Source organism: Homo sapiens, chromosome 3 (genome assembly GCF_000001405.40).
Source record: "Homo sapiens chromosome 3, GRCh38.p14 Primary Assembly".
NCBI classification, from domain to species: Eukaryota; Metazoa; Chordata; class Mammalia; order Primates; family Hominidae; genus Homo; species Homo sapiens.
In genome coordinates, this window is record NC_000003.12 from 152,438,837 (window position 1) to 152,466,144 (window position 27,308).

Sequence of the window (27,308 nt, forward strand, 5' to 3'; positions counted from 1 at the left end):
GTAAGAACACTGTGCATGGCATAGTGAAATACTTTAGGTAAACAATGATGACTGTTAAGGTAATTCATATTACATAGGCGTAATCCAATAAAAACCAGGGGACACGTATTCCAGACACTGATGAAAACATTAGATTGACATTTGGTTAGCTGCACCATTTTTACATCAGCAGTCTATATGAGAAAAGCATGAGTATTCCAGGAAAGGTGGGCAAACGACTTGGTTTCTGATAGTTTCAGTTCGCGTTTGCTTGTATTAAAATATAAAATAAATTATTCTTGGCTGAAAGTTTTATTCTGTGAGGTAATCATTACACAAGTTTCTAATTTGGGCCACTAATTGTTGTATGTTTCCATTACTTACACAGAAGAATCTAATAACCCTTTTCATGTAGGCAGAAAAAAATATAATACCCATTGACTACAAAAAATAGAACGTTTAAAGCTAAATGAGGATTAGAATGACAGTGAAAAGCATGCCTATGTTGGGATTTTTTAGGTGTTTAGTGGATTTAACATGATGGGATAAAAGACTTTCTATTCAGAAAAGATTAGGAAAGAAGATGCTTTTAATAATGTAGGAAAGTCTTATCGGTAGGATTATTTTAATTTTGCATTTTTGTAGAGGATGTTTGGCTACTGCTTGTGTGACTTTTTTTACTATCTCCAGAAAATTGCCAAGAAACCTTAAGAGTTTTCACATAGAGGTTTATGTAGGTTGTTTTTTTATATCTGTAATAAACTTTAGAATGGCTCTTAAAAATGTAGTCACATCTTCATTTAAACAATTTAATACACTATGGCTCTGTCAATTATTAATCTATGTGATTAGAGTTTTGATATGGTATAGAGTATAGTAATTGCTATATTAAGAACAGTGGTTCACACCTGCAGTCCCAGCTACTTGAGAGACTTAGGTGGGAGGATCACTTGAGCAGGGAGGTTGAGGCTGCAGTGAACTGAGATTGCACCACTGCACTCCAGACTGAGTGACAGAGGGAGACCCTATCTCAAGTAGTAATAATAATAATAATAATAACATAAATGAAATAAGGTAATGGCTAATTTGGTGTATTGACAAGCTTGTTTCAAAGTTGTGTCTATTTTCCTGTCCTCTTGGGTTTGCACAGTCATTCATGGGAATGAATAAATGACAACGTGGAAGTGGATTTAATGGTTCTGTCTTTGGTCATTCCTATTCAGATTTTATTTTATGTTTTTATAAGAGATCAAGTGGTAGATTCTTAGTTCTGTTACCTATAGAAGCATGCTTGTGTTTTCTGGCCTGAATAGTAATGATGGAGTCTGCCTTTTAGGCTTCAAAGAATGCTCCCATTTGATCCTAACAGAAATACTATGAGGTAGCTAAAGTAGGTGTCCTTTTCTTGAATTTTTTTGGAAGGAGAAAAATTGATCAAATATGTACAATTATTGAATAACCAAATGTATTAGTCCATTTTCACGCTGCTGATAAAGACATACCCAAGACTGGGCAATTTACGAAAAGAAAGAGGTTTATTGGACTTACAGTTCCACATGGCTAGGGAGACCTCACAATCATGGCAGAAGGCGGAAAGCACGTTTTGCATGGTGGCAGACAAGAAAAAAGGTTGCACAGGGACATAACCCTTTTAAAACCATCAGATGTCATGAGACTTATTCCCTATCTTAAGAACAGCTCAGGAAAGATATGCCCCCATGATTCAATTACCTCCCACCGGGTCTGTCCCACAACATGTGGGAATTCAAGATGAGGTTTGGGTGGGGACACAGCCAAACCATATCACCAACTGAAACTAGAAATCACATCATCCGATATTTATCTAGGGATTTTAATTGTACAATAAATTGACTACAGTTACATTTACCTAATCACCAGAATTATGAGGATTACAAAGTAGATATTTTAATCCTTTTTAAATGAAAATAGAGATAATTTCTTTACATTAAATTATAAACTCATGATCAGCGATGCTGTGGACACTTTGATCAAAGTGATTGATCAAAGTGATTATCTAGGATTACTTTTTAAAGTAATACTTAGAAAAATTTAGCTTGTTAGTTCCAGCTTAATAGAAAGTGAAGTCCATGCTGCTTATTGGTGAACATGTAGCTATATGTCTTTGAATACGTTTCTTAATATTGGCCATTAACTATTAAATTGACTTCTCAAAATGTTAAAATGGACAAAGTCCCTGTTTCTTGTTATAATTAGCTTTCTGTTCCTGCTTTTGATTGTTATTCTCCAAGATGACTGAGTTAATTATACAAATATGGTGAACACAAAACATATTACCTCAAAGGGATATCTCCTTAAAGAATATGCAAATGACCCTCCACTTTTGAATAAATTCAAATATTGACATTAATCTCCTTAGAATCCCAGTGCTTTAACTTGAGAGCATTGCTGAGTTTAATACTACTTATAAAACTTACGTTATTTTGACCATTTTGAAATATAGTTTTTCATGTATTAAAAAATTAGAGATCAAATGACAGGATTATTCATATTATCCAGATTTGTATGGTGTGTTGTAAGCTATGCATTATTTTATTCAGTATTCATGACCTTTTAAATAGATGTTAATAGTGTTTTCATTGTGAAGATTCCTTAGCTAGTAAAGTGATAGGAACTGGAACTCACAATTTTTGACTCCAAACCCTATTGTCTGTCCGCTATATTATTGCTATTTAGTTAACAAAAGAAGGTTTATTTAGAATTAATTTACATTTTCTTGGGAAATTTTCCTGATTATGTTTTCTTTTGATTATTTAAAGTTTATAATTATTCCATAGATGTTTTTCTGGAAATAGAACTTAAATGTTTTCAGTGAATATCTTCATTGTCAAATCTTGCCTTAGTATTTGTAAAGTAAAAGGCTCATGTTGAATCACATTATATGTGTAGCTAAATAGATCTTATTGTTTTAATGCAGGTTTGAAAACCATTTATCAAACAATATTTTTTTTCTTTTGTGACAGAGTCTTGCTCTGTTGCCCAGGCTGGAGTGCAGTGGCACGATCTTGGCTCACTGCGACCTCCACTTCCCAGGTTCAAGCAATTCTCGTGCCTCAGCCTCCTGAGTAGCTAGGATTACAGGCGCCTGCCACCATGCCCAGCTAATTTTTGTATTTTTAGTGGAGATGAGGTTTCACCATGTTGGCCAGGCTGGTCTCGAACTCCTGTCCTCAAGTGATCCACCCACCTCAGCCTCCCAAAGTACTGGGATTACCAGCTTGAGCCACCGCGCCCAGTCAGAAAATATTTTTATGTGTTGACCCAGTACATACACATATACCAATAAATCTGTACATTTATCTGCCAAAAATAATGAAAAATGCCTATAGTCATGGATATATTCTTGGAATATTACTTGTAATATGGAAATACTGGAAATTATCTAGATATCCTCCAAAAGAGTTACCTGTATTATGTACACTATTTGATGAAATTTGATGCAGCCATCAAAAGTATTCACTCTGGAAATTATTTAGCAAAATGAGAAATGCTTATGCTGCATTGTTGAGCATAAAAGATCACCAAATAATAGCTATACTATAATTACAATTATTTTTAAAAATGTGTGCATACATACAGAAGACTGGATGAGAAGAGAAAAATGAACCACAGTGTTGTTAGAATTTTCAGATTTAATTTTATATTCTGTTTCAAATTCTCTGTATGATAAATGTTATAATTTCTTATCCTGTTTTTAATTATGAGATTAAATTTGTGAAATGTTGTCAGTTATAATTTACTAATGTAATAGTATGTCTAAGAGATTTATTTTGGGTATCAGCATAGTCTAAAGTGTCCTTGAGTTTATCAGAGAAACCAGATCAAACTCATATTGAGCAACCAAGGGATAGATCCCATTTTATTGATGATGTCTATTAGGGAAAATGTGTTTTAGAAGGTTTGGGAAGTTCATGTTCCCATAGGTACCCCACTATTCAGATGCATATCTAATGCTTGGTAAATTTCCAGTCCCACTGGCCTGTAACTCTCACCAGTACAAGTTTTCACAAGAGATTTTCTCTTCCTTATTTTTTCACAAGCAAGAATAATGTGAGAGTAGCTATTACAGTATGTTTCTGTCCTATTTCTTAGGAGAAACCGTAAGCTGTAAAAAAAAATAAAAATATGAAAGAGTCAAACATGCATATTATGCAAAAGCAGTTGACTAAGTTTTTTTTAACCTCAGAAAAGGTTGGTTTTATGACACATTCTGAGCTAATTCTTAGTTATTAAGTCTGCTTAAATATTTTTAGAATTCTTTCTAAATGTTCCACAGGAGAGTAAAGAACATGAAATTATAATAAACCAATCCTTAACCTGTAGAAACCCCCCCCCCCACACACACACACATGCAAATACATACACACAGAACCTAAATAAATTCAAGTCTTCTTTCTTGTTAATGCGGCAAAGAGTAACCTAAATTGGAAAAGTAGAGTATTAGTTCCCTGCTGCCAATTCATTTTGAGCATATTCAAGAAAGCAGGAATTACTGAGGGAGCAAATAGCAGCTGAGAGAGATCACTTATAGACCTTCTGCAAGTTTCCTGTTTGGTGATGCCTACATTGACATAGACTTGCTTAAACAGAAAAGTAGCCCTTTCGTTTATGCAGTAGTATATATTTAGCATACACACACACACACACACACACAACTTTTTATCATTATTTAATGTAGGCACATCACTCTTCCTGAGTATAGTGATGAGCCTCACATACAATAAATTTTGATTAGGTACTGGGTACTGTTTTAGCAAGCTCCATAGCTGATGCTAATGTTCAGCCAGAGAGGAGGATAATTATTCTCGGTAACAGCTTGATCATTTTTTGCTTTTAAGTTATAAATCTTGGTAATACTTTTTTTCTTATGTTCAATAAGATAAATATGCTAATAAAAAACCAGAATCTTGAATAACTTTTTAAGTCATTTTTGTGATCTTAATAACTGAGTGTAGTGGTGAATGACACTGGCTCATTGTATGTATTTGGAACACAAAACTTTAGCTAGGTTGAGGTTTCCAAGTAGTGCAAGATATCATTTATAATGCTCTTTTTTAAGATGTAGCATGATACAGATTATAGTATCTCCTTCTTTAAGAAACACTTTCCTCAATAATAGGATATGAATATAATGTGGGAAAACACCCAGATTTAAATGCAATCATTGTATTTATACAAATCCAAGAAAACCTTTGCTTCCTAAGTCGTAGTAGGGTTACAGTTTTTCTTTCTTGCTTAACTTCAAAATAAAGTGCTTAGTATCTGCGTTTGCTATTTGTGAAAAGATACTTGAACAATTAAAAACTGTTTCCTTGAAGCTTGAAGTAAGAGCACGAAAATATTAAAAGGACATTCTGTGTTTTAGATGGCCCTCTTGTGGTAAAAGGGTCAAAGTATCCTGAATGAAGACTGCTTTTAAATAGTAAGAGTCAAAATTGCGCAGATGAATGAGAAATAATGTTCTCGCCTTTTCCCTAAGATCTCCGTGGCAAAATTAACAGAATTAGCAAATATAAAACAAACAGACATAACAAAACCAATCTTTTTTTACTGCTTTATATAGCTACCAAGTGAATCTCTAAAGATCAAAAAAATAACTCCTGGAAACATTTTCATAAAAAGCTATCAAATTTGATTTTGTATATTTTTCACTTGGAAATAATTTTATATTTACACGAAAGTTGCAAAAATGGACCCAAGAGTTTCTGTCTACGCTTTACTGATCTAAATATTAATATCTTACATAACTGTAGAATCCCTCTTAAGACCAGAAAAATTAACATAGATATGCTGCTGTTTAACCAATCTACAGACTTTAATCAAATTTTACCAATTGTCCTCCCAATATTCTTTCTGTGACTCCAGGATCCTCCAGCTTGTGATAATATCTCAGTCTGTCTTGCATGACCTTGACACTTTGGGAGAGTACTAGTCGGTTATTAGTAAAATATCTTTCCATTCACTTCATCTGATGTTTCATCTTGATTAAATTCAGGCAGTACTACCTCTACTGTGATTGTGTGCCCTTCTCATTGTATCATATCAATAGATACACAACATCATTATGTCTCATTATTGGTGATATTAATTTTGATCACTTGGTTAAAGTGATGTTTTCCATGTTTCTTTACTGTGAAGTTATTATTTTTCCCTTTGCAATTAATAAGTTTATCAACACCATTTCAGATTGTATTTTTACCATAATTAACATTATACATGCATTTTCTTATGGACATTTATACTGAAATGGAGTTATAATTTGTAACTAAACTAGGAAATGCTGAAGTTACTTGTTGCCTTGTTTGAAAATCATTTTCCCTTTTCATCTATAGCCTTCTGTCACCAGTCTTGCACTTTAAGTTAAAATCTTCAGAAAGCTTCTTCTTCTTCATGTTGACTAAACCTCATGTACTTAATGACCTCATAGGTATGTCGAGAGTACCAACGTGGCAATTGCAACCGAGGAGAAAATGATTGTCGGTTTGCTCATCCTGCTGACAGCACAATGATTGACACCAATGACAACACAGTCACTGTGTGTATGGATTACATCAAAGGGAGATGCTCTCGGGAAAAGTGCAAATACTTTCATCCCCCTGCACATTTGCAAGCCAAGATCAAGGCTGCCCAATACCAGGTCAACCAGGCTGCAGCTGCACAGGCTGCAGCCACCGCAGCTGCCATGGTGAGTAGAGATATCAGCTCTCTCCTTGTTAGCAGTCAGAAAAGCAAAGTGAGCAACTATATCTGACTACAAGCTATTCATTTAGTAACCTTTTTAAAAAAATTGCTGAAGATATGTTTGTTCAGGTATCCCAGACAATATATAAAGAAGTTACTTTCACAGAAGTGAGGGTAACTCCTCAAATGGTTCAGATTGCTCCTACTCTTGGCCTAACTCTTAATCTGTCTTATTGTGGATGTAGGGTTTCTGAAATCTCTGCTTTGTAAAGAACCACCTGTCTCCTTTTCAACTTAACGATATTGCCATTTTCAGTCTTCTTATTTCTGTGTGCCATCTAATCAGCCATTGTTTTCCTTTGGTGTGTTCTTTTGCACATCAAGGCTCTTCTTTACATATATCTTGCTTTTAACAATAACATGATCTGGAACTATTTAGGAGAATTGTTCAACAAAATTGTTCTTAGAATTAGCTACAGGATTTTGAGTAGTATACTATCTAGATTGTCTGAAATAATATTGTGGCATAAACATAATAGTAACACTAGAGAAGCTTGACTATGCCATTATATAGACAGGAGAGAGACAGCAGTACTCAAGGAGTTAGAAATTGGATCATTAAGAATAGCTACTAAACTATATTCTCAAGGTAAATTTTAATGTGATCTAGTAGCTGATTTTAATGAGCCCATTCTTTGTTCTTTGCTTACCTGTTTTAATGTTGTCATTTTTTTACATAAATATATGACTTAAATCAATGAAATACTCATTTTAAAAGTCACTGTGTAGTATTTCATAACACAGTGAAATAATCACGAGAGAGATCTTTTCTGTGTTTATGGATACTTGAGCAAAAATACAGAAGGCAGACTCTCTCCTCCTCTCTTCCTTTCACTCTTTTTTTTTTCTGTTAGAGTATCTTGTTTGTAATTAACTACAAAGAGGAGTTATCCTCCCAATAACAACTCAGTAGTGCCTTTATTGTGCATGCTTAGTCTTGTTATTCGTTGTATATGGCATTCCGATGATTTGTTTTTTTATTTGTTTTTTCTCACCTACCCAAAAATGCACTGCTGCCCCCATGATGCACCTCTGCTTGCTGTTTATGTTAATGCGCTTGAACCCCACTGGCCCATTGCCATCATGTGCTCGCTGCCTGCTAATTAAGACTCAGTCGGCTGTCAAATCACTGAAGCGACCCCTCGAGGCAACCTTTGACCTGGTACTATGACCTTTCACCTTTTAGCTTGGCATGTAGCTTTATTGTAGATACAAGTTTTTTTTTTAAATCAACTTTAAAATATATATCCTTTTTTCTGTTATAGAGTTGTAAAGTACAATGAAAAAACTGAGTGTGGTTTCCTGACAAAATTAGTAGAAAGACTATAATCTAAGTACATAGATGGATATCATACAATAAAAGATTCTGAAAGCCCAGCAGCCCACATTCAGTTTAACTACATTGTAGAATGTTCTGAAGAAATAGTCGGAGGACATAAAGAGTGTATTTTTGACTGTATATTTATGTACCTGTTTGGTTAGCATGGCTTTAGTGGTAGAATTATTTACATTTTAATATTTATAGTTCAGTATTTAAGGAAAAAAACTTGCATGCTCTGGGACATTTGCATGTCTAGGTAGATCTGGGGGGAGGAGCAGAGTGGGTTAGTTTTTATTTTATCTGTTTCAGTCACTCTGTACAATTAACTATTAACATTGCTTATACTTGTCAATCCTCATGGAGCTCGCAGTGCGGCTTTTCTTCTTTTCCCAAATCAATGGCTTCTCACAGAAAGCCTGAAGCATTATGGGACATAAAGCACTTTAACACATTATAACATGTGCTCTTGTACTAGTGAGATTTTGTTTTGGACAAAAATAATGCTTCCTTTAAAGCTTTTATCTTGCTTTTTTTTTTTTTTTCCTCCTTAATTTTTTGTTCATTGGATTTTTTCCCTCGGGTAGTTAAGTGCTCTGCTGCTTGCTTGCTCATGCTTCCTAACAATTTTAGCCTTCGACTGATTTTTCTTTTTTCTTTTTCTCTTTTTACTGGTATTTGTTTTTTATACTCATTCACTAAACAGGGAATTCCTCAAGCTGTACTTCCCCCATTACCAAAGAGGCCTGCTCTTGAAAAAACCAACGGTGCCACCGCAGTCTTTAACACTGGTATTTTCCAATACCAACAGGCTCTAGCCAACATGCAGTTACAACAGCATACAGCATTTCTCCCACCAGGTAAGGGGTGGGGTTTCTTAATAAATGAATCTGATGATCTACAGAGAGTCCTACTGTTAGAGCAGATAAACCACACCCCAAGTTTGTTTGTAATTATAGATGAGGTGTCAGGTAAGGTGGTCAATGATGGAAACTTATCTGAGGTATCTCATGTGGTTTTCCTTAAAAACTAAGGATTGTAGCTTAATGAAATGTGGATTAAAGATCAGTGGTATTTTATATATTTATTTGTGTTTGTGTAATTTGGAAATGAAATATAGTTCTCTTTTTTTCTCTTTCCTCAACACTTATATATGTCTGTCAAGCTATTTTATGATACTTTCTTGCTGTAAGACCCCTTTGCCTTCATTATTCCATAGAGTTAATTTAAATTATATAAAACAGCACTTTCAGTTTTGATTTTTATTTTTCAGCCTTTTTGTTTTCAAGGTCAAGAATGAAAACAACTATGCGTTCTAGAGCTCTTAAAAAGGGCTCTTATTGGCATCAATCAGTACACTGTTTAAAATTATGACTGTTCCTAAGCTAATATTGAAATAACCCTAAGTGCTCAGCAATGTTTAATTTATTATGGAGTTCTACATTTGTGGTTTCAGCTTATTTTCAATTTGGTAATGTATACATAATCTAGAATTATTCACACAGATTGCAAAGTTTAAAACACAGACTAGCTACTCATTTAATTACCTGGAAATTTACTCTTTTTATTCACTCTGAACTTACTTCAGAAAATACATATAAGCTCATTATTATCTGGAATTTTACTAACCAGAAACTCAAATCTCACTTTCCTCTTTATTGCTTCACCCTTATTTTCAGAATACCATGGTTTTAGAGACTTACTTAATAAAATTATTTTATTAATTAAATTAATGAGTAGATATATATGTCAAAAATCCAGCTCCCAATTTTATATTAGACTATACTGGCAGTATTTACAGTGTATTAGGTTCATAATGCTATAAGAGAATGTGAATTTATTTTTGATTCACAAAATAAATTATATGAGCTTTTAATACTAACCATAAGTTTTATACAGTACATATTTGAAAATCAGTCATCCATATGTAAAATAAATACGAAGTAACAATTAACTACAATATTCCACTAGCTGAAATAGCCAGTGCCCCAGACACGTGGATAAAATGATATTTGTACTTGTGAAATAGTATCTTTCAAATTGCAGTTTGCCCATATTGGAACAAAAACTAAATCATTTTGACCTGCAGCCTCACATTTCTCTTATGTTTTGTAATATTATAACTTTCTTCTCAACATGCATAGTTTTTCAGAAATTAATCTTTTTGCTCTTGTGCAAGTTGCTGTGTCCCTAGATTTTCGCTGCCCCCAACAAACAATCCATCAGTTTTTCTATAGTCAGATGAGCAAAGTTTCAAGGGATTATATGTAACTATCATAATCTCTTTGAAGAAATTAAAACTTATTTTTGTCAGTTTATTTTATTGGCTAAAACATTACCATGATAAATGACCGTTTCAGCTAGACCAGAGGTAGTGAGTTATCTCAATAGATTGTTCACAGTCAGTTACAGATTGAACTCCTCGTTCTACTCATTGCTGTCTTCTCACTGCTGCACTTGACTAGTCTTAAAAAATATGATAGTTTCTCTACTAAAGTCTAAAAAACAAATCTGTGCTATTTAAAGAAAGCTGAAAAAATCTGTTTTATCAAATAGGTTTCACATTAGTTTTTTCAACAACTCTCAAATGACTATAGTTTTTTTTCTAAATAAGTATAACCAATTACATGGTATGATGACCCTTACTTGTGACACTAGTGTCTCCCTAGAATAGCTTTTTGTCTGTGGATAGAGCCAAAGATGCTAGATAAAGTTCAAATTAGGGAAAATAATAAACTCATTCATAAATCAGAATCAAACTTGTCTCTCTGTGCTAGGTTAAGCATTGCTAATTTAAATAAAATCTGCATTAATTGAAATATGCTGAAAATTTTAAGATATATTTGCATTTATTATGATGCATTTTGCATCAGAGATATTCTATTCTTGATCAATATTTCTCAAATATTGGCCAGGCGCAGTGACTCATGCCTGTAATCCTAGCACTTTGGGAGGCCGAGGCAGGTGGCTCACTTGAGGTCAGGAGTTTGAGGCCAGCGTGGCCAACATGGCGAAACCCCATCTCTACTAAAAATCCAAAAATTAGCCGGATGTGGTGATGCATGCCTGTAATCCCAGCTACTTGGGAGGTTGAGGCAGGAGAATCCCTTGAACCTGGGAGGCGGAGCAGTGAGCCAAGATCACATCACTGCACTCCAGCTTGGGCAAAGGAGTGAGACTCCATCTCAAAAAAAAAAAAAAAAAACCACACAAAACAACAACAACAAATATATATACACACACACACACATATTTCTCAAATATAATCAATATAGTGTGAAATTATTGCATTAGTAACATAAAATAACATTTATTTGCAACTCAGTTATAAGGGCCTGAAACAGCAAGTTGACCTTTATTAATCACATAATCAGAAGTAGGTAGTGACTCCATGATTATTTTAAAATATTTTCATTATATAATATATACCTGCATTCACAAAAATTGACGCTGTGGCATGAAAAGGTTAAAATGGATAGCTCTTCATTATTTCTGCCCCATCACTTTGTCAGACAGTCAGAAAGGAAAGAAGTCTAATGCAGGGAATGTATATGCAAAAGCCTCAGGGGCCAGGCAGGAAACACAAGTGAAGCAAGAATAAATTGGGAGCTGTGGGGTCTGGGAGGCACAGGGGAGCACAGGCTCAGTCTAAAGAGTATAGTCAATGTTCAGACTTTGCCTTTTGTTGCCTCAGAGGATTGTCTGCCTGGCAGGTTGTACTTGCTGTCCACTGCAAACCCTTTGTGGCTCCATTTATATCATAGTCTGTGTAAACCACAATTGATTGTGTATATGCCTCATAGGGTTGGTTGTAAGAAACCCGCACAACCTAACACAGTAGCCCTGACATACAGTGTTGCTAGGTCTTATGGTCTTATGATTTTTTCCCAGATACTCTAGACATTTGTATGTTTATATGTGAAATTTCTCAATATTTAAATTTTGGCAATTCAGTTTTTTAAAAACACCCTTTGAGAACTAAAGGAAATTCATCTTACCACACATTCACATGTAATCTCATGTCTAATACCTGGGAGAAAAGGAATTTCATTTTCCAAAGTTTGGTTGTTCTGCAGACAAATAATACAGAAGAATTAGATGATCAAGGAATCCGATCTGAACACAATTTAATAATTTGGAAGGTACACTTTTGAAGGCTTTATTGGAACTGGGAAGAAAATGGAATTCTTTTATTTTTTGCAGCTCAGAATTTTAGTGGTCTGTAGTCTGTTGTTTCAATGATAACTTCAGATGTGTAGATATATTTTATTCAAATTACAGTGAAGCATGGTTAGCTAAATTCTTAGAGCAGGTGGCTGCGTATAGAGTAGTTTGCTGGCAAAAGATCAGGGTTCAGTGACAAGCCAGCCAGCTAGCTAAGAAAAATTACTACATACTTTAACTTTTAAGAACAGAATTGGATTTAATATGGACATTACCCATCTAAGCATCATTCAACCATACATCCATCCATCCTCCTATCATTCTGTTCTCCCCTTTCCTTTCCTCTCTTTATCCTTTTTTCCTTCCTCCCTTCCTCTGTCCTTCAGTTTTCCATCCATCTATTCATCCCCCCATTTATCTATCCACCCATCTTTCCATTTATTCAGTCAATAAACATTGATTGTATGCCACATGGTATACCAGTATTTATGTGAAGGATTGCAAACTGATAGCTCAAGGGTAAAATCTAGTATCTAGAAATATTTTTGTTTAAGAGTGTTTAAATGAAAACTAAATGTAAATCCTTTAGATAGGACACATACTGTACCCTTCAGTTCCAAACGCTACAATTCCCTATTGCCTTAGGCCAGGTTGTTTCAGATATTTTGTTCAAAAGAGCTACGTTTTATTGAATGGTTGCTCTTGTTCCCTGCTGCACTGAGTGCTTTGCCTACATTATCTCATTTTTTTTCACAACGCCCAGAAGGTTGGCATTAATATTTTCATTTTACGAATGAGTAATTTGGAGCCTAGTAAGGTACAGTGATTTGTCCCAAGTTAAATGGCTTTTGTAAGGTTTAGATTTAAGTACAACTTGAACTCAAGTCAGGCTGACTTGGTTAGTCTCTCAATATCTATTACACGAAGACCTTAAAAATGATTTGGGAGAGTGGAAGTAGCCCTTACTGAACACCTAACTCCATGGTGTTTCACACCTTCCACCTCATTTAAAGATAAATATAAGTATTAGGTTAAATTCATATTGAAGTTTTGTCTTTTCAAATTTCGATATATACTTGTTTTAACCTTCCCCTTTCAGGACCAGATTGATTATTTGTAGATATTATGCATAATTTAGGATCTATTTATGTTATATATATGAGTTTTCACTCATGAAATTACGGCGTGTAAGAAATACCACTTTCCTTTACACCATTTCTTTTTTCGTTGAAATTAAGTCTAGCTCTGAACTGTGATCTCTATCTCCCTGGGTTGAGAGAAATAACAGGCATTACTGGGAATCCAGGACTACATGCCCCAGCTCCCTCTCTTTCCTGACCTTACCTCAATGTGAGGTCCTGTACAGTCTAGTATTCTCAGACAGGCTATGCATTCTTCATGCTTCAGTCACCGCTGCTCACTGCTGATGTGATCATTGTCTATGCTTGCAAGAGCTCTTAAGACAGGTACTCCAGGGGTTCTGTGCTTGCCTTGGATATAGGCTTCCTTGTCTATGCCCTCCAGGCTCCCATGCCCTTGAGGACCTGATGTCTGCAGGGCTATTGTGAAAGAACAGGCTACCTACCCAGCTACCTGTGGAGCTGCACACTGCCTGCCACTTCAATCTTGAGGAATTTTTTTCTCTGCCCTCCATCACCATTTTTGCTTACCTACCATCTTCAGAATCACACCTCTTGTCTCCCTCTCTAGCATATCTCCCTCAATCAGTGTTGGCTTATGAGTTTTAACAGTTCTGAAAATACATTTACTTTAAACAACTTCTATTTTGGCTTGTATTACAACTCTACCAAGAATAAGGCAACGAAAGGCCAGGAAACTCTTAGGTGGTGGTGTAGGTCTAAGGGCAGGGGTAGGCAGGGTTGTGTTTATGCAAAGAAGAGAAAAAGATTTGTCACATTTAGTATCATTAATACATATAATCATTTATAATTATGTATATTAATAAATTACTTATAATTAATAAAAATAAAGAAGGTACTGCTTGTTTGGATACCAATTTTGAGAATAATCCAACTGATTGTTAACTTTTAGTCTTAAAATGATATACACTATTTTTAGAAAATCTTAATCAGCCTAATACTTCTTATAATCAACCTAAATAGGACTGAATTATTACATCGAAATTCTAACTTCCAACTAAATCTTCATTACAATTCTTTTTCTCTCTTCTACTTACTTCCCTTCTACTCCAAGTAATTTTAAGTATGCATACATCTTATTTGTAAATTATCATCCTAGTTTTTCCTACATTTTCATACATATCAATTAAAATTTTTGATTTAAAAGGTCATGCAATTAAAATAACACATTTCTCAGAAGCACACCATTCTGCTCTGCAAATATCTTTGTAGGAGAAATTGGAAATTGACAAATACATTCACTTAAATTTTGCTTTGTGCTGAAAATTGAGGAAAAATTTAAATTGGCCATTTGCACATTATTAGTAGTAAATCAACCCATGTAAAGATGGAAACTATGGTCATTTCAAAAGTGATTTTCATTTTTGGTAAGTGGGTCCTACAGCATTATGTCCTCATATTTGTGAGTTATTGCACCCTGGCTAGTATTTTCATTGCTGCCTTATGTTTATTTGCTGCAAATCCCTCTCAAAACTGTGTGCATTGGTTATAATGCTAATGAGGAAGATAATTCAAACTAAAATTCAAATCATAATAGCTTTAGGATTTTAGAGAGATAGTATAAGGTTAACTCATTTTCAGCATGTGCAGACTTAATTATGCATGGGATGAAATACAGTAGGCAAGTCTCAGCCTAATAATAAATAATTGAAAAATATAACCTGTACAATATTTAAACTGGCTTTAATATTACTTAATTATCACATTATTCTTTTTCATTCATCATTTCTTTTCCAATTCTCTCACCCTACCATTAAGACAGTAATGATTTTATAAGATGTAGATCCGGTATTAAGTTTTGCTTGCTCTACTGTCTCAAATTATTATAACTTCTTTGTTATTACTGGCTTGTTTCTGTTTGTCTTTCACAAGTCTTTGACTCAGTAGTAGTAGCAAATGACAGAGATCTTCAAGTGTCTTAATGCTTGTCAATATAATATTATTCCACTTGATAGGATGTGTCCCCAGATACATTACAGAGTTTAATCGTTGATCACTCTGCCCACAGTCTAATTGTGATAACAAACTAATCGCAGCTGTTACAGAGATGCCAGTTAAGTAATCCGTGTTTCAGCTGAGTTTCTCAATGGCAGCTTTATTTTATAGGGCCATCTCTGACGAGATTCATTTGGCAGATATTTTTCTAACAAATGTTCGTCCCAGATGCTGCTAGTATTTAAACAGGATATGCTAAGATTTAGATAGAAATATAAAATCCTTGGATATTTTAAAACCTAGAATTCTAAAATAATCCCATAGAAAGAACAGTAGTTCTGCATATGGGAAAGTGCCTTGTACTTGGTAAAATAAGTTAAATTTTCAATATTTACATGTCAAAGAGAACAAGGACTATCTATATATGCAACATTTATTTTTGCTTATCATGGTTGAACAATTGTCAGCATCAGTGCTAACACCCCATATGTGATGTATGTATTTTCACTCTCTCCCACTCAAGGTTTTTATTGAACTCTAATTAGCAGTTTCTTGCGTGTGAAATTTTGTAGAACATTTGCTACTCCCAGAAGTCTTGAAGGTCTAAACCAGCAATGAAAACCACTCTGATTTCCTAGATACTGTGAAGTAAACCAATTTGATACTTATAAGAAATTATATTCCCCCTTAATGCTTTTCCTACATTTTAATTTCAAACTAAGGAAAGGCACAAATTTCACTTTTTTATGTATAATTTATTGCTTGGCATCCCTCCAAATACAAATCCTGTATGAATAATTACAACCCCTTTCATGTTTATATGGTTGCTGCTACAATGAACAGGAAAATAAAGCAAAAGGAATGAAAATGAATGTTTGGGTTTCATTATATTGTTAAGTCAGTTTTGTACATTGAATTATTTAGTATTTAATAATAAATATCTTTAGTAAGTTAATATGTGCCTGATATAAAGAAAATGTTAAGGCATTCATAAGTTAAAGTCAGAAATAGCAAAACGACCAGATGGTTAGTAATCAGATTAAAACAAAACAAATTACAATATTATTTTTAAAAGAATTAAGTGGATTTAAATTACTTCCAAAATACTTTTGTTTATAGGCAACAATTAAGAGAAACAAAGTGTACCAGCACACAGTTAAACTGGCTTTTATTCTTCACTTGAGACTAGTTCTAATTGATCACTGTGCTATTGTATGATTTGATTGTGCTGACAGTTACATGCCACTGTTCCCATAATAACAATTTTTCTTCTTTGTTCAAATGAATTTTCTAATTACACGTGTGATGGGATGTTTTAATTCTTTTCCCTTTTCAAATCCACCTTCCTGTTGCAATGCATGATGGGCAGGCTCAATATTGTGCATGACACCCGCTACAAGTGTTGGTAGGTGCCAGCTTTGTTTCTTGATTATCTTAAACCTATGGTGTACCTCACAGCCCCTCAAAATCCACTGCTAAGTTTAACTTATATCTATTGGGCAAGTCCATTTCCCTTTTACTAACACTTGTCAATTAAATGCCATTTTCTGTTTAATTGACATGGACTCACATAAGTGTTTTCTTTACACACAACAGTTTCCTTTAGTCACCTTTGGTGGATTTTGATTGGACTATGAGTTCTGGTGTGTAAAAAAAATCTATTTCATAAAAGTAATATACTGTATATTTTTATAATAGTAAATGAGAAAAAAATACTTTCATTCAAACAGATAACTGTATATATGAAGTAAATACTTGTATTTTGACTTAGATTTTGAATGTCTGACTATGAACACTATATAAAATTCTTGTTTTTGACTTAGCATATTAAGCCTGTTTGTGTCAATTTTCTTGATTTGATGGTAACAAGCTTTTTTCCCCCTTTTTTTTCTCTTTCATCCCTCCTCCCCTTCTCTCCTTGGAATGTTGTCCTGCTTTGCGCTGTGATTGCATGTCACTCGCTGGTGATGATGTCCTGTCACATGGCTTATTGCTGTGATAAATACCATGCCCAATTATCTCTTCCATGTTGCCATGGTTTCCATATTGCTACACTCTTCTGTATGTTCGCTTATATGATTTTCCCTCCGAAAGTTCCCATGGTGCACGGTGCTACGCCAGCCACTGTGTCCGCAGCAACAACATCTGCCACAAGTGTTCCCTTCGCTGCAACAGCCACAGCCAACCAGGTTTGCTAATTTACAGCTTTGTTTCTTAAAAAACAACTCTAATAGGGCTCAATCCAACAGCCCTTACGCACGTGGATTTCCCATTGAGGTCAGTGGGAATCGTGTGTACGTGAGGGCTGTAGAGGGTGCTTTAATAAGCATGGGGTTTCAAAGATACCTCTTGTTGGCCTACACATTCTCTCTATGATGAGCAGCAGAATGCTTTTATGCCATTTATAAGTGCTCCAAAGTCGTCGCAGCTCCATTTCTGAAGCTACTAAAATGATATTTACACAAGCAATTCTCAATTGGTTTCAACCAATCGTGCAGGTATTTTGACCAATCAAAAATAGAGGCCATTTTAAGGTTTTTATTTAAAATATTTGGTATATACAGTTTCTTAGTTCTTGCCTAAATGATTAATAGAAAGTAAAATACTTAAATGTATTACGTATGCCACAAATGACCACTCTTGTAAATAAGTTTGTTATAAATTCATTATAATCTGAATCATTTAATGAGCAGATTCAAAATAAATTGTTTGCATGTAGCATTTCTAAGCTTTTATTCTCAATGCTTTCAGTGAAAGAAAAATCCTAAGCGCTCTTATTTTTATAATTACCCTGCATAAATGTTGGAGATTTATGAAGGAAAAGAAAAGAAATTAAGTATGGCAAATTGACAGTCATTCTGTATTCCATGCAAATTTATTGCAGGATACTTTTAAGTGAAAGGGATTTGTTTCATAAATTTAAATTTTATGATATACAATAATAACTATTTAAAAATAAATGATGATTTAAAATATTTAAAATTTAAAAATTGACATTTATTCACCCAGCATTTTCTGATTCTACTTAAAAATATTTTCTAGAAAATACTGGTTGATTTCAAGTTTCATTTATGTAGATTTGGGCTTCAATAGAGTTGATAGTGTATGAAAAACATAGAGCCAAGCCACATTTCAGATAATCCACAGAGGAAGATTAAAGGTAGCCAAATGAATCTCAAAAGAATGAGTGTCAGATGAAAATGAACATGTTCCCCCTTGGGAAGGGAAGACCAATTAAGACATAGATTTGTTGTTATTACTGTGAGGAGTAGCCACCCTTGTTCTATAATACATCACGTACTGTTGATGAAGAACATTCAGCTATTAGTACAGCCATTAAAAACTTTCAAAATCAGAACACAAAAATGAATTTAACGTTTCAGTCAAGCTTTAAACATTTCTTGGCAAAGAATCATTAATTTTTCAGAAGCTTGTCAAAATAGCCCTGGGTTTACATGAACACGTCAGACTCATTTACAAGAATGCTAGATTGTGCATATGTGGCATGTTAATAAGTAACCTTTGGTAGAACTATTATGATGGATTCAATACAATCCATCTATGGTGCAAATCAATGATAAAGAACTCTCATGCGTCTACCATGTATGACTGTAGAATTGCTGGTGTAAGCAGAACTATAGCAGAGCAAATTTCAACATGCCCTTGGCCACCTGGGTTGTAGGGGACACTTTACTTTTTGCATTGTGCTGTGACCATTTCATGCATAATCTTGGATCTTCATACTATTTGACAACCAAAAGAAAGAAAAGGGAATGGATATATATATACACACATATATTATATCTACATATACATACATATGTATATGCCTACAGTACATTAGCAATGCTGGAAATAGCTGATGCCACAAAATGCAGCCTGCATGCATGCAGAAGTTTATAGCTGGCCCTTCATCTGCATCGATTGGTGTTGAAGGTCCTTGGTATGTTTCGACAGCCCCATCCTTGATGCTTCTACACTGTTGGGTGCAACATCCTGTCCTGCAGCAGCAGGAAAAATGGTATGAGAAGCTTCATTATGCTTGGAGCACATTTTCGTGCCATTTGCCAATGCTGTAAAATTGTGTAAAAATGTCAGCTGAGAACTGGAAATAAAACAGGGACATATTAATATACACGCCAGACTGTGGATTGTAGTATGTTGAATTAGCCTAAGATGTCTAAATTGAAAGAACAGCAACAAAATGCCTTTGTGTATCTGATTTCATTATTCTCCCAACAACATTGCTGAAATGGGATTAGTATCATTTTATAGAAGAGACTTAAGCATAGAGTAATGAGTTGCTTTGCTCAGGGTCACACAGCCAGTAAATGGATCTCTGGGGCTAGCACCCGTGTCATCAGTCCTCTGACAGTCTCAATCCATTGTGCTGCCTCTCTCAGGTTAGCAGGCATTAATTTCAGGTTGAAGAATCAAGCTACAAATCCGAAGTTCTTAACTTTGGGAACTATTGAAATAAGTCAACTCTATATTGGTTTCTTATTGTATTTTCTCTCAAGTTCTCTAATTCTCTTGCCCATTTAAAATACAATAAAAGGTGTCATCAGGATTCAGAAATATGTTCTGAAGTAAACTTAGGCTCTTACCTAGTTCTTTTGAATTACTGCTTTATAATTCTTACCTGGTATTTTTAATTTGGAAAAAAAAAGTTAGACACCCTAATTTGAACGAAAATGTTAGAAATTTGGTTGCACAAAAATAGGCAAGACATTTCCTTATCTGATTTCTGGATGATTACTAAGTAACTGAAACCACGGGGGTGCGTGTGTGTGTGTGTGTGTAGGCCAACAAAAAGGGCTTCTTTCAATTACTGCTCTGCATGAATTTTTGATAGTTTTACTTATTTCCTAAAAGCTGGTAACATTTATAGAATAGTATTTAACATGAAGATTTTAAAGTTAGTTGCTACTTTGGCATTTAAGTTTACATTAACTTACTGTTATGTTGACCAGATAAGGACTATCACCTCACAGCTGAATTTCACTTTTCTTTAAAAATTTAATATTAAAATGTTTTCATCTCTTAATTGTTGGCTTGCTTGCATGGATCATTCATTAAATAATTTTTTATTTGCTAGATACCCATAATATCTGCCGAACATCTGACTAGCCACAAGTATGTTACCCAGATGTAGAATTTTCATCACTAAACAGTAAGTTCATTATGTAATATATAGTTGCATATTTGTGGTGGTTTTTTTTAAGATAGCAATTGTATAGTGCACTTAAAATTTTGCGAAATCTCTGAGAAAATATATACAGATCACATTTTTATCTTAAATGGGTGTGAGGAATTTTATCAGACATCTTTATAACAAATATGTTAATATCACTTAAATATACAAAGTACTAAGAGAAAATAAATTTTTTAAATTTCTGATTAGAGATAAACACAGCATAAAGAAAATGTATGACCAAAAAGTAATTAGAAGGTGTAGATCAAGGGTTGGCAAACTTTCTTATAGGGTCAGACAGTAAGTATTTTTGCTGTGTGGGCCGTATCGTTTCTGTTGCAGCTACTCTCCTCTGCCATTGTATCATGAAAGCAGCCAGAGACCACATGTAAACAAATGGGTGTAGCTGTGTTCCAGTAAAACTTTATTTACAAAAACAGGCAGTACATCACATCTGGCCCACAGGCAGTAGTTTGGCTGACCTCTGGTGTAGATTATCACTTTTTTTTTTTTTTTTCATTCTTTGGCTAAACCTTAAATGGGACCATGTACTTACTTCATCCCATGCACCACCATACACAGGGGCATTAGAATGTAATGAGTTTGGCTAAGCGTGGTGGCTCACACTTGTAATCCAAGCACTTTGGGAGGCCAAGGTGGGTGGATTGCTTGAGCCCAGGAATTTAAGACTAGCCTAGGCAACATGGTCAAACCCTGTCCTACAAAAAATACAAAAAAATCAGCTGGGTATGGTAGCACACTCTGTAGTTCCAGCTACTAGGGAGGCTAAAGTGGGAGGATCACTTGAGCCCAGGAGGTTGAGGCTGCAATGAGCTGTGATTGCGCCACTGCACTCCAGCCTGGGCAACAGAGCAAGACCTGTCTCAAAAAAAAAAAAATGTAGTGAGTCTGACTTTAAATAAATATATACACATAATCAAATATATGTGTACACACAAATCTACATATTCAAATGAATCTTAGTTACTTTAAAGTAGTTACCTCAGAGGATCATATAATTCTGAAAATGTTGCCATTGCCACATTTTAAAAATGGTTTGAAAGTCTTGTATTTTGTCTTTAAAAACACTGTGGTGGTGGGGTCGGGGGAGGGGGGAGGGATAGCATTGGGAGATATACCTAATGCTAGATGACACGTTAGTGGGTGCAGCGCACCAGCATGGCACATGTATACATATGTAACTAACCTGCACAATGTGCACATGTACCCTAAAACTTAAAGTATAAAAAAAAAAACAAAAAAAAAAACCACTGTCTTAAATACTTAAAAAGGTGTCCATTTTTCATCCATAGGAATATGTTTTGTCCAGTATGCATGCATTCAAGTTATAACATGTGCTCAGATGCTTGTTATTTATTTTTATATTTAGAAAGAGACATTACATTTAAAACTGAAATTGGTTAAGATGGGTGACCATTCTTTGTTGCTTCCTTTATTTATTTATTAACATATTTACAAATGAGTTTTTGGTGCTACTTTGTGTTAGTTACCATGGCAAGGAGATAAAGGTAAATAGATAATAAGATAAAGATGTAAGGAATTTCAGGATAATATAGTAAAATAAGAGAGGTTTGAAGAAATTTCTCTTAGAGCAAAGATGAAGGAGCAGCTGTTCCCAACAGGATCCGTAAACAAATGAATGTGGACAATGAAGGTGTTGTTCTAAAGAGAATGGAGGTGTAAAGGCCTTGTAAAAGAAGGACAGTGTGCCAAGTCAGGAAACGATGATGGCTGAGAACCAACTCAGAAACCCTTGTGATGTTAATCTGTAGCAAAGCTGGACAAAGTCAAAGCCCATGCAGGAGAACAGGCAGAATTCAATAGCCATTTAAGAAAGAAATGAGAGGCTCAACTGGAGAAGTACTGCCAAAGATATGCTGCAATCGTGAATTATTAAAATTGATTTTTGTCTATTTCATAAGTTTTCTCAAAGCAGTTCTGATAAAAAGGTTCAGATTCTGAACAATAGCCACATTTGTAGAAGAAGAGGCATTACTTTGCAGTGTTGTAGGTTTAGAAGAAGAGGTTTTTTTGACATGCCAGAAAAATCTGTTTCAAGCTCTTATAGTCAATTAGGTGTGTTTGGTATGTATATATTTAACTAAATTCTGTTTCTTAGCAATAATCCAGGTTGAAAAAAATTTCTAAAAATAATTAGCAAACCAGTAGTTTTGTCTGTATTGAAGCTAAGCTTTTAATGTTCTGTTCATTTAACAAATGATTGCTCATCTTCATGAGGAGTTGCAACATTTAAACTGGTTTTTGAGTCACTAGATTATGATTTCTTTCATTTTCAAGGTTGTATTGTGAAGCATACTTTTAATATATGTAAATATTCGCTGCTGAGAACAAATTTCATGTAAAAACTGGAACTGTTAATCCACAAGTACATTGTAATGTCTATTACAGCTTAATTCATGAGTAATAATTCTGTAATTCAAAAAGAATGATTTTTATTTTCTTAGTTTTAGGTGAAAAAAGTTCAACAAACTGAATTACCCAAAGCCATCACTTAAAGTATCATTCTTTTTTTTTCAAACATGCATTATGCTAATCAAGCACCCAAAAAGAATAAATCTTGTTTAATAGAACATATTACATGAATTTTAATTTTGTAGACCAGACCTTTACTCTTGAAACCTTATTAAACTTCAGAAAAGAAGTTTAAATTTTGCCCTACAACAATTGTGCTAAAAAAGAGCTCTGTATATTAGGCCCCCTGATTCTGCAAATGTATTTTATACTTTTAGTTTAGGATTGGTAAATTTTGGAGCACATTCTACAGTTTTATTAAATTGTACGTGTTATTTCATTCGTGTAGAGATGATAGACAAATTTTGATCTGTCTACTCTTGTAAAATGGTTTTTGTTTTTATATGAAGATATAATGTAAATATACTGGTTAATCAAAAAGAAAATTTTCATATTAAATGTATATTAGAAACTGCTTTTAGATATTACCTGTTCTAACAAAGCTTATCTCTTTTTCCCTTGTAGATCATGCTAAAGAGGAAAGGACAGTGTGCTTGGTTAGAGTAAAGGACGAGGTCATTAGCCATATTGTATATATCGTCAAGCAACACACACAAAAGTTCCTCAGCCACAAGACATCCACATATTGCATGTTAACCAGAAGAAAAGACAACATTTTCCGGAAATCCACTGCACACTGTTGCCTATACACTTTGTACATTTAATTGATATTTGTGCTGAGGTGATATTCCTGTCTAAAAGAACAACATTGTCTTTCTTTTCTAGCACAGAGTTATGCATTCAAAGATGCATACCTAGTTAGTTTCCTATATATTCATGCCATCTTGAAAAGACAGACTATGGTGTAACCATGATTCTATTATGTATTGGTACGTCTGTAGACCAAGATATAATTTTTTAAAAATAAGTTTATTTCTTTCAAGGTTTACAAATAACAAAGGTGCACCTTGTATTTAAAATTGCCATTATAGATGAGAGCGTGCATGCACAGTCATTTTTGTTTAAGAGTAATATTTTTAATGTAATAGATTGTAAGACGTGGTGAGGGAGGGATCTGACAGAGATGAATGTGCCAAGCAAAACCACAACTGTGTATATTTTAAAGCACATCATGGCTTTAAGTACCATGTTGTTAAGGATTCTCATGAAGTGCCATAGACTGTACATCAAATTAGAGTATTATTTCTTCAGTGTTATTGTTTTCAGAGCCACATTTTGTTGCATATTTGCTAGTACTAATCAGTCAAAGGGCACCATTCTTTTTTTTTTTTTTTGAAACCAAAGCTGTCTCAGAAATGGCCAATTTAACTTTACAGTAACAATAGACAGCACAACACAAACTCTCTCAATACAGATAAACTCACACATACTGGAGATATATATATAATAGATATATATAAAATTATTTTAATGCATTGTAGTGTAATATTTATGCATACTATACTGTATAACATGTTATTCAAAAGGGATTGCCATTTCTGAGACACAGTAACAAAAAAATGAGGAAATTATTTTGCTTCTATTTATAGCCTCTGTCAAAAGTCAAAAGACTATAAATGCTTTGCAAAAATGGTTTCACGTTTGCTTAAATGCTTCATCACAGTCACATTCAAAATAGTGACTCTAAACAAAGAAGAAAGCAGCACTGTCATCAGATGCATGATAAACCAAAATATGAAAATGGGAAATGTTTAATTAACCTAGTAATTGGGTGGGTTAAGTACATGGGTGAATTTTATATGTGATTTTTGTTTTGTTTTGTTTTGTTCAGATTAACTGCTTATAGCCTTAGAAAGCCTTTTACAAAATTAAAAAAAAAATAGATGTGCATTCAGTTTTTAAGAATGGAATCATCCAAAGGAATTCCTTTTTTTGAGGTTTGGATGTTGCAGCTAGTAAAGGATATTTTTGCTCTGTTCAGCAGTTCTAAAAATTGCTGAAGTAGGGGCCAGGTCACTGGTAGTTATAGTATGGAATGGGAGAAGTGAAAGTTCAGTTATAGAACTTTCCATACTTCCAAGTTTACTGCAAGTTTTTATGCTTGAGAGAGATGCTTTCTAATATAAGACTGATGTGTTGATTTTACTGATTGTACTGTACATCTATTAAAGCCTTAGATTATTACATTACGGGTTGGAACCCATACCAATGTAATTTCAATCGTGTTAAGAAAGTAATGGTGACTTCACATGTTATTGTAGTTAGTTACATTATAGAATATTACTTATTTTTCTTGTTAAAATGTAGTTTTTCATTTCCTACATTTATTAGATTTTCATTTTCTATTAACAATTGAATACCATTTCAGTTTATAGACTTGTTTTATTAGATTTTACCAATGAATTTTTCAAAATACAAAAAAAAGTAGTTTTTCCTTCATAACATACTCAGTTTTGAATTACATGTAGTGTCACATGAATATTCGTATTGTTAACTAAATGATTTATATTTTACTGATTTAATATTACAGTGTAAGAATGTCAGTCATTGTTAGTTCTTGTCTAGTTTTCATTAAAAGAACAAAGATCTTTTATATGGATATCTTATAAATATATAATCATTGCTAAGTAAGAAGTTAAGTTGTTGCTATCGCAACAATCCTGGCAGACAATTGAGTAATATTTTGATGATTTATTTTGTTTGTAATTAGTTATTATAAGAAGATCTAGATCCTAGATATTAGAATAAAATTTATTTTCTACTGTATCCATTTCAAATGTTAAAATATTGTTTAATATTTTTGAAATCCCTGAGTATCAGGCCTTGTTATAAATAAGCTGCATAATCAATAAATAGAACAAGGGACTTTTTGTTGATAATCCAAATACTCAAAGTTTACGTAATGAAAATTATAGCGTGTGTGCAAACTCTTGAGGGTTGATTATGCTGCAATTTAGCATGTTGGAACGTCTAGGGAGAAGGTTGACTTTTTGCACTTCTGTATATAGTCAAAAGAGAGAAACCTGTATAATAGTAAGATCTTATTTTGAATAAAAACGTCTATAATTACAAGGAGTTTTGTTAAGGCTAATACAATGACAGACTGAGCAAAATTGCTTGCAAAAGTGGCACAGAGTTAGCACTCCATACCCCTTCAAACATGTTGCTTTGCTTTCTTGTGGACAGCTTGTAGTTTGCCAGGATTTTTTCAGCTGGAAAGATACGCCATCCTTTCAAACCCTCATGACTGACAAAAACTCCATGGGGCCAAATCTGCCTGAAGATCATTACCAAAAATAGCAGGTACTTCTACCATTAAGGTGAAATCATGGATCAGATATTCCTTACATTTTTCAAAACTACTGCATGTTTAAAACTTCAACAAAAAAAGAGAGAAAGAACTATACTAAGAACATATATTATTCAGATCAGTTTCTGCCAATTTCAGTGGTTTATTGTTCACAAAAAAATCTTCAAAACAAGTATTGACTTTCACAAAATTTAAATCATAAACAGGCAAACCAAACAGCACACTGTAGCTATAGTTGTTATGTGATTGTTTTTTAATTGCTGTAGGATCCTGTTCTTTCAGCAGGTGAAAAATAAAACGCAGTTCAAATTTCATGGTTTTAATTTTCAACTCAGAAGCACTCAAAAATGCAAAATGTGATAATGGGCACTTGTTTAAAAGAATTAGTGTATCCAGCCTTCACTCCAGCTGGTTAAAAATGTTGCACTTATCAGCAACCCTACCACTTTCATCTGCTGAAAGGACAAATGTGCTTGGTTTTACTATTATGTAATCACAACTTACTTTCTGCTTGTAGTTGCTTAAAATTATGTATTTTGTCTTGGGCTGCAATTTGTTTTATGCTTATTTTATTATTACTGCAGTAGTTGACTTTGCTGTATGGAAAAATAAAGTGAAATTGCCCTAATAAAACTTCTCTTTCTTAAGTATATTCGTGTATCTGAGATTGAATACTAAATTATTTTTGCGTGTTTCATGTATTCATGCATATGTATCTATCTTTACAAACATATTGATGTATAAATTTGTTACCTGGTTTTAACTGATTGCAACTGCGAGGAAGGCATTTGTTGTCTTTCTCACTAATTATCCTTTGACACTGAGAGGGAGAATCTAAATCAGCATATATTGCCCTCCTGTGCCCAATGTTTTCTGAAATTCTTGCCTTCCCCTGTCTGACACTTTAAGCGCTGATTGAAATAGTTTTAAGTGTCAGGGCAAAAAACGGTAAGAAAAAAATTATTATACATTATAGATCACTATCTATCTTTTATTAAAGAAATCTTATTTGCC

At 33.9% G+C, this 27,308-nt stretch overlaps 1 protein-coding gene across 130 annotated transcripts in view; it reads left to right on the forward strand.

Moving 5' to 3' along the window:
• The window catches only part of MBNL1 (muscleblind like splicing regulator 1), a 222,149-nt gene extending 195,205 nt beyond the window's left edge, over window positions 1-26,944 (forward strand). For 36 of the 130 annotated variants that reach the window (NM_001387781.1, NM_001376826.1, NM_001387801.1 and 33 more), the window contains 6 exons: window positions 6,446-6,703; window positions 8,784-8,937; window positions 16,706-16,741; window positions 17,431-17,525; window positions 20,435-20,509; window positions 23,549-26,944. In NM_001387781.1, the coding sequence (NP_001374710.1) occupies window positions 6,446-6,703; window positions 8,784-8,937; window positions 16,706-16,741; window positions 17,431-17,525; window positions 20,435-20,491 (600 nt within the window). In that variant the 3' untranslated portion in view covers window positions 20,492-20,509; window positions 23,549-26,944. Of the gene's footprint in view, window positions 1-6,445; window positions 6,704-7,867; window positions 7,922-8,783; window positions 8,938-16,705; window positions 16,742-17,430; window positions 17,526-19,172; window positions 19,358-20,434; window positions 20,515-23,548 lie in introns of those variants that run through there. The other 94 variants (NM_001376819.1, NM_001387785.1, XM_047448139.1 and 91 more) reach the window with 24 other exon arrangements.